At 44.2% G+C, this 9,120-nt stretch overlaps 1 protein-coding gene across 1 annotated transcript; it reads right to left on the minus strand.

Annotated features, from left to right (window-relative positions):
* DCAF12L1 (DDB1 and CUL4 associated factor 12 like 1) lies at window positions 2,128–5,559 on the minus strand. The gene is made up of 2 exons (NM_178470.5): window positions 3,940–5,559; window positions 2,128–3,852 (listed from the first exon to the last, which is right to left on the minus strand). Exon 1 carries the CDS (start codon window positions 5,351–5,353, stop codon window positions 3,962–3,964), a length of 1,392 nt encoding a protein of 463 aa, NP_848565.2. The 5' UTR covers window positions 5,354–5,559; the 3' UTR covers window positions 2,128–3,852; window positions 3,940–3,961.

Here is a 9,120-nt window from a genome sequence, read left to right on the forward strand (position 1 = left end):
ACTGGTGGTGTGAAATACTTTTAGGCAACCCTTTCTTGAGCAGATCTCACAATAACATATCTTAAAGCAAACACCTGTGGCTTATGCAGCCTCTCTTTCATATTAGTACATGACATTCTCACTGAACTGCATCCCTGAGCAGCTCACATAGTGACATGTTGAATGTAGCTGGGTTACCTAATAATACTTGGAGAAATTAGGAAGCTGTCAGTAAAACATCCAAGAGGGCTTTGTGAATTGCTTTCTAAAATCAATCTAAATTAGCAATTAATGAAAAAATTTTGACAAATTGTTCAACACTGAGTACAAGTGGATAAAAATCAAACTCTGGAAAATTCAATTTTGTTTATCATTAATGCTAGAGTGTATTTAACAAATGAATTTTTTCCAGAGTAGTCACCTCAATTTATTCCAGTAGATATCCTTGATAAGTAAATTATTTCACCCCTTTTTAAAAGAAAATAGAAATTAACTCATTCCAAAGAGTAAAGGAGAGGAACATAAACTTTTGGATCAGAAGTATGCTTGGCGAGAAATATGTGAATAGGTAGTTAGAGATAAAGATAATTCACATTTTATGGCGATCATTAAAAAGTCAGGAAACAACAGGTGCTGGAGAGGATGTGGAGAAATAGGAACACTTTTACACTGTTGGTGGGACTGTAAACTAGTTCGACCCTTGTGGAAGGCACTGTGGCGATTCCTCAGGGATCTAGAACTAGAAATACCATCTGACCCAGCCATCCCATTACTGGGTATATACCCAAAGGATTATAAATCATGCTGCTATAAAGACACATGCACACGTATGTTTATTGTGGCACTATTCACAATAGCAAAGACTTGGAACCAACCCAAATGTCCAACAACGATAGACTGGATTAAGAAAATGTGGCACATATACACCATGGAATACTATGCAGCCATAAAAAATGATAAGTTCATGTCCTTTGTAGGGACATGGATGAAACTGGAAACCATCATTCTCAGCAAACTATCGCAAGGAAAAAAACCAAACACCGCATGTTCTCACTCATAGGTGGGAATTGAACAATGAGAACACCTGGACACAGGAAGGGTAACATCACACTCCGGGGACTGTTGTGGGGTGGGGGGAGGGGGGAGGGATAGTATTAGGAGATATACCTAATGCTAAATGACGAGTTAATGGGTGCAGCACACCAACATGGCACATGTATACATATGTAACTAACCTGCACATTGTGCACATGTACCCTAAAACTCAAAGTATGATAATAATAAAAAAAGAAAATAAAAAAAAAATAATTCACCTTTTTATGCATAGCTATAAGTAACTGAGGCCTTTCAGGCATCAGTGATAGGTAATTTATACATAAATATTTGCACTTCCTTATGTACTTTAAGCGAGTTGTATTCATGGACTTTCTGGAGGGCTGGCGTTTTTTTTTTCAATTATTTCACAGTCACAGGTTACATAATTAATCATAGTTCTATAGATCACTGTGTCAGAATTAGAAAATATTTCAAAATAACTAGATGGTTACAAAATAGAAATATACACATAGGATATTTAGTTTTTAAAAAGTTAAGCCATGTGATTTGGCATTAAAAAGATATAGCCTAAAATACGAAAAAGTTAAGAGTGAGTCGGTGATGAAATTAAGGACCAAGACAGAGAAGAAATCAGACATGCCTTCTATTTCTTCTCTAAAATCCCACCCCAGGTAGAAAGTGTTATTTCCTCTAAAAATGTTTTCCACATTATTTCCAAAATAATTGCAAGAATACCATAAAAATTCCCCATTGCCTACAAGAAGATAGGCAGCGAATACTTTGAAGTTATTGGGTAACACTTAAGGAAATTTTTAGCAAATATGTTTTTAAAGTTAAAAGACAAACTACAAAGGATATTCCAAAACTAATTTCTGAAAAAAAAACAAAAATATTTTAAATAAATCTTCAAACCTAAATGGTTGCAGGTGAAAAGATTAATTTCCAGTGTCAACTAAGATTTATACATGTTCTTTCCTCTGCTAGTATCACATATGGGTAAGTTTATGAATGGATAAGCACAATAGCCTGACCTGGAAATAAATCAGGGCAAAGTTTACCAAAAAAGGGGGGAAAACACAACAGGATTCTATATTATTTAAGAGTAAATATTTATTTATTTATTGACTTAAAACTTTAAACTCTAGGTCTCCAGAGGCATTCAACCAGTACATATTTACTTATTGCCTTTTATTTGCTAAGTATTAGTGGAGAAATGAGGCAATATAAAGATGACAATTGTATTCTCTGTTCTCAAGACATTTACAACTGACTTGGAGACGCATGCACACAAATATATCTTACTGCTATATAACAACAATTATATTAGCCTTTATAACAATGGTTAGAAACAAAAGCTTACTTTTTGGTATTTCTTAAATGACTTTTAGTACAATTTATTATATTAAGTTGTTCGGATTTGTGACTGAACAGCAATGTTGTGTGTGTGCACCAAGATAGCATCTGAGTGCCCAAACATCTAAGGGAAAACAGACATAACAAATTACTAATCCTGGGTCAGCACAGCCTGGCCAGTTTTAGAAATGACAAATATTGCTTCTCACTTCCAGTAGTCTCACATATGGAGAAGTACAACCTGTTTTCATAGCAGTCCACAATTTATATTTATCTGCGCTCCAATATACTTTTCTTCAACCTCATCCTATTTATTTTAAATCTCACCTATCTTGAAACGAACTTCCTGTGTTCTTGATATTGCATACTATTACATTGAGAGTTATAACACCACTACTTTTTAACAACACGTTATACTTTAGGAAAGAATCTTTGAACTTCACAAAATAAAATCTTATTAAGAATCTTTTTTTCAGAATGTGCTATTTTTGGTCTTTGTTTTTTTTATTGTGAATTACCTCTTAAGCAGAATTGGAAAATGTTAAATATCCTCAAATATAACATTTTATAATAAAAACAGCAACAGCAAAAATATCTAGTCTATACCCTGGATCAGTATACATTCTGCCCAGCCTGCCATACATTCCACGTTTACATTTCCTGCTTTTCATGATGGCTCCAATGCCCTGTGCAAGTTTTTCAAACAACATACATTCAAATATATTCACAAGTCTTGATAGTACTAAGGCAACAAGTGAAAAAATACACATTCTTTTATCTATTTAAGGACAGGTGATAACAACTTAAATAAGTTTTGAAATAAAAAAAAATGGTTGTTTCAACTTTCAGGTTAATTCTGAAAATGCAATGAAGCAGAACCCCTGCACTCCTAAAGTGTTCCGACCAATTAGGAGTTTGATACAAGCACAAGATTCTATGATAACTTATTTTGAAAGAGAATAAACTTCAAAAAAGCACTTTAGCACCAACAACGTAAAAACTATATACACTAAGATCACAATTTGTAAATTAAGTGTTTCCAAACGTAGGTAATCTAGAACTTGGAATGTACTTTTCCAATTGAACAATGCTATAAAACTATGGTAAGCTCTCCAGAAAAGATGTAGGAACACCTTGCTTACTAGAAAATTTTCTCTTCGTATCTGCAATGAAAAATAACTGAAAACAATGCTGTTGTAATATTGGTAACGAGGAAAAACAAGGAAAACAAATATACATAACTGAAAGACCATGACTGCATCTTCTTAAAGAAACAGAATGTATGAATCACTCAAAGAGAGAATGCAACTAAAGATTAACGATTAACCAAATTTCTTTGTATGAAAATTCCAAAAGATGGTGTTGGAAAGGAGTCAAAAAGTCTTAAAGCCAAGTTTTCATTGACCAAAGGACCACTCACTCTCTCTGCTTGGAGGAGTACAAATTAAGCTGGGCTGGTTCCACCTGGAAAACAAAAGACGCACAGAGTTAAAAGCAAAAAAATGCAGCATGAAGGGCAGTCGGGCGGAACTGAAAGGTAAATCTGTGTACCTGGAGTACAAGGCGGTCATCCTTAGCTCCAGAGGCCTGCATAGTTCCCATGGAGGCCTGCAGGGAGAGGCCCCCCAGCCACAAAGAGCTTCATCTCAGGCCAGTTGTAGCAGTGGGTGTAGAGCGCATTGGGAAACACTTCCATGCCACCAAAGTAATTCACCCAGAAATCATTGTGGTTGAGCCAGCCTCTGCCACAGGCAAGCCTGAGCTTCCTCCTTGCAGGTCCCGAAGAGGACTCCAGGGTGGCGGAGGCTCTTTCCTCCAGGAATTTCTGGGCCCGGACGTCATAGAAGAGCAGGGAGCCCTGACCGGTGCCCACAGTGATGATGTGGCGGTAGAAGCTCAGCGACCGCACGCCTGTGCCACCCTCTCGAGAACACAGGGGCCGGATGTTCTGCTGGTCCTGGCGCAGATCCAGGAAAGAGACGTGGGAATGGGAGCCCACGGCGTACACAGACATATCATCACAGTAGGTCAGGCACACATTATCCCGGAAGTAGGGCAGCCTGATGGACAGCAGCCTGGATAGTGCGCTCCCGGCTTTCCACAGGTGGAAGTAGCCGTCCAAGGACACCGCTCCCAGTTCCTGGTTCTTGCCGCCGCAGGCCAGGGCCCGCACCTTGCGGTTACTGGGGTTGATGATGGCCCTGGGGATGGCCTCCACATCCCTCGGACGGATGTGGGCATATACGGGGAGACCCACCTCGCTATGCCAGGCAACAGTGTCATCGAACTTGTCCGGGTCCATCCGCCACAGCGCCACAGTGCCGTCGCGGGAGCCGCTCACGGCTACGGTGTCACTCAGCCAGGCGACGGCGAAGATCCAGTCCTTGTGGCCATGGCGGTCGCCCAGGCACAGGGGATCCAGGGAGGGCAGCTGGTAGATGGCCAGGCTGTTGGGGTTTTCGCCGCCGGTGGCCAGAAGCGTCTTGGAGGGATTCAGCTCGATGGCATGGATGCCGCAGCCCTGTTGGTCCTGGGCCAGCCTGGCCTCACTGTCCCGCAAGAGGGGAATGCGCGCGATGTGGCCTGACTCCACGTCCACCACGAAAAGCGTGTTACACTTGGTGCCGCACACCACCTGCCTGGAGTTCAGCCACTGTGACGCGAACACCTTGTTGACCGTGCCCAGCTCCAGTTGGCGCTCCGTCAGCAGCTCGGGCAGCCTCTGTACCGCGTAGCCCCGCAGCTCGCCATCGAAGCCCTGGAGCCTGGCGGGGCCCCACCCGCCTACCTCCCGAACCTTCAGATAGTGCGCCATCGAGCGATACGTCGCCGGCCGCCTCTGCCTCTTGAGTAGCAGCGGCCCCTCACCGTCCGCTGCCGCCAAGCCCTGCGACGGCGAGCTCTCGGCGTCCGCCTCGACCGCGGGCGCTTTCCGTTTCCTGCTACCTGTTTGCTGCTGGGCCATGGTGGGCGGCGGGCGAGCGGCGGCGGCAAGGCGTTGGTGGCGGTTGCAGCGCGTGGCTCCGGAGTCGGTCGTGGCGGCGGCGTGGATGGCTGCGCTGGAACCGAGCCTTCGGATTCTGAGGCGCGGCAGTGGCGGACCGGGTGAGGGACGCGCGGGAGAGGGCGGCGGTGGCGGTGCAGACCTAGGCGAAGGCGGGAAGTGCGTCTGGCCGGGCAGTGAGAGCAAAGTCAGCGTGCGGCGAGATCGACGCGGGGGGCCGAGTGGGAGGGGCGGAGGCAGTGGGAGGAGCAGGCGGTCGGGCAGGCGGTTGTGAGCGCGTGGGGTGCCTGAGGAGTAGCTGAGGCCGGGCGGGGTGAAGGCTGGGAGGGACAGGGAGGGGAGGGGGTAGCGGAGCTGCAAGGGCAGAGTCTAGGAGGGCCCGCAAGCCAGGATCCCAAGTATCAGACACGCGGCATTTCGCTACCCTCAGGACAACAGCTAACTACCCTTCTTAAAATCCCTACTTCAATAAAATCTGAAACCTACGATATAGTCAAGCACGGGGCTAGAAGGAGCCCAGGCCACGATCTGTCTGGAGAAACCAGTGTGCACTTGGTGTAATCCTGGGACACCCTTCGCTAAGATTAGACATTAAACTTGGCAAGGGATGGGGGATTCGGCAGCGCAGGGAGACCTTTACCCATATGTCAGACCTGCAACCCCTCAAGTTTCAGCCCCTCAGTTGATGTCTTAAACAGTTTCAAACAAATATTTTTTCCCTCCTCAAATTGAGGTCTCTGAGCTACTGCCACAGTCCCTTGAGGAGTACAATCCAAATGCAAATCCCTGGGACCCACATTTGGCCCATGGTGATATCAGCGAACACTTGGTTTGGTGCAGCCTTGAGAAAATGGTAGGCTGTACTAATGGGGGAGGAATCCTGAGGGGCTTTTTGGAGGTGTTTGCTTCCTTTGAGCCTCAGAGCCCTAAGGAGAGGGAGTGGAAGGATCCTGAGAGGGGGACCTCTTCCCCACTCCTGAGAAGCAAAGTTAATATCCCTGTTGTCAGTCCCAGAGGCGCCCAAGCAGAGTCCCTGGGACCTTGGGACAGGGTCTAGAGGCAGAGGATTTTCACGTGCAGAGAACATAACGTTCCAGAAGAAGGCAACAACGTGGATACAATGATGCAAGTTTAGAGGTTCTGTGCATGAATAACTTCTCAGAGTTCATAAAGTTCTTATCCAGTTCTGCTGCTTCAGAGCAGCCAGTCAGGTGGCAGGCGCAAACGGGGCATACTCAGTTACCCAGTGATTTCAGTTACACAGTGATACATTGGGGAGAGAGGGCAGTGAGAACAAAGTCAGTGTGTGGACAGATCCACGAGGAAAGCCAAGCGGGAGGGGCTGAGGCAGTGGGAAGAGCAGGCGAGTGGGCAGGCCGGCCTGAGGGTGTGGGGTGCTGACACCTGCGGTGATTAATTTACTTCCTGATCAGGGAAAACCATAAGAGTTATTTTGTTGCTGCTTCTCCCCAACCCCCTCTTTATTTTTCTGGTTTTCTGTCCCCTTCCCCCATCCCTTTTTGCAACTTCGCCTCAAGTGCACAAATTCCAAGTAAAAGCCATAGGTCCTTCTCACCACTCCAATCCAGCAGCTGCCTTCCAGTGTACCCCAACACTCCCTTGCACCTCACTTTTGATTCCTCCCCATATCATTCATCCTATAGCAATAGAAAGGCTGCATCTGCTGGTGGTAATAGTGAACATGAAATCAGGGACAGGTACATAGAGGAAGCTGCATTTTGTTTCCACACGTGGACACAAATGGGATGAATGGACATTTTAGAAAGAGGCAACCATATGTGAAAAGGCACAGATAGTGCAAAGGATTGTTTCGTGAATTTTAGTGTACATTAACATCTCAGGAGCAGCTTAATAGATGTGCATATCCTTTGATTCTATCCCTAAAGATTTGATGCAAATGATCAGTGGACAATTATTTGAGAAACACTGGTCTACACTCCTCTCACTCAGGTGGGAACAGGATGTGTTGCAGGTAGGAGGAGATAAATATCTTCATGTACTTCAGGGTTACCCTGAAAATGGGCCTTATCCAGGTGAATATTGTGCAAGAATTGGGAATTAAAAAGATTATGATGATGTAGATGTCAGAGCAAAGAGTGGCCCAGGGAGGAAAATTGTACCTATTATGCATGTAGAACTTAACTATTCTTTACTATTGCCTTACACCTTTACTATATTGTTATATTAACAGGCATTGCTGCAAGTGAGGCAGGAGAATAGGGTCTGGAGGCAGGGAACCTAAGGCCCTTTCACGCTGACTTCCTGGAATTAAACTGAAAAGAAACCCTAACTTTCCACGCCTAAATAACAAAAGGACCAGAGGCTACTCCCTTTACATACCCCCACTTTTTCTGCGTCCTCAGATGGGAAATTAAAAGTACCTCTGATTGGTTGCTTTTTGCAACCAGTCAGATGTTTGCATAGGAGTGTATCGATGTAACTTCACTTCAGCCTCTGATTGGTTACTTTCTGCAACTAATCAGACTGATTGTGGGTCATCCCTTCATTTACATGAGGTGAGTGCCAAGTAGCCATTGGGAAACCTCCAGAGCATATTTGGACACGAGGAGATTCTGTATCCGGGGCCCTTGAGTCGCTGCTGGGGCCCGCTCCCACACTGTAGAATGTACTTTCATCTTCAATAAATCCCTGCTTTCGTTCTTTCATTGCTTCATTCTTTCCTTGCTTTGCTATGTGTTTTGTCCAATTATTTGTTCAGAATGCCAAGAGCCTGGGCAAGTTGCAGTCAAGACCCTCTACTGGTAACACAAGAACAAATATTGTCTCATTTAATCCAACCTTATAATAGTGGTAACCACTAATATTATTAGCCCCATATGAGGACATTGAGGCTTGGAGAGGTTATGATTTTGTCCAAAGTAAATGAATTATTAAGTCATCCCAAGTAGCTTGATTCCATATTCCATGTTCTTATTCACTTCCCAGAGACTGGAGAAATTCCAGGGATTGAGTAAAAGACTCTGCTAGTGATTGATACGCCTCACTTCCTTGCAGCACAGATGATGGGATATGACTATGGAACATCTGTTGAAGTTGGGTACTAGGAGTAAAAACACTAAGCCAGCTGTCAGGGGTTTGGAGATTCATTTTGTGATTAGTGTCAAGTCCTGCTGAAAAGAACTGCTCCACAGGAGCAGGAAGGACCAGTGTAGGTCATCTTGATGTCATCTTGCAGCAGATGAACAGTAAGGGTATCCATAACAAACAAGAAGAACTAAGGACCACAATCAACTTATTTTTCCTGGGACCAAGTAAGCATCACAAGTCTAATAGGATCCCATAGAAAAAGGAAGGAACTTTTGAAATTTTACTGATATTGGCCTTTCTACCAGCCAAGTGTGTGTAGCTTGAACTCAAATGCCATTCGACTTAGGAAAGTAAAGAAATGTGCTATATATTCCTCTTATTTTTCATGAAACACGATAATATCCATTACCCAAGGCTTACAAAAGGAGAGGGATTTCTATGCTCTGGGGGATGAGGTACCACAGATAGTAGAGTGGAAACCCCTTAGAAACTTAACACTGTCCCCAAGTCATAATGCAGTGCTCTTCTGTTTGTAGTGGTGGAGGGTGGATATTATAAATGTCTAAATCATGGAGATAGAAGAAAAGAGATTTCCAGTTCTGGCCAAGACAGAGTAAACCCATTCTTTCAAGGTCCTCCCTCTTCAAACTGAAAAAATT

The sequence above is a fragment of the Homo sapiens genome, chromosome X (genome assembly GCF_000001405.40).
Source record: "Homo sapiens chromosome X, GRCh38.p14 Primary Assembly".
NCBI lineage: Eukaryota > Metazoa > Chordata > Mammalia > Primates > Hominidae > Homo > Homo sapiens.

What these genes read in the sequence shown, in the direction of transcription:
- DCAF12L1 (NM_178470.5), bottom strand. Translation starts at nt 5,353, where the DNA reads ATGGCCCAGCAGCAAACAGGTAGCAGGAAACGGAAAGCGCCCGCGGTC.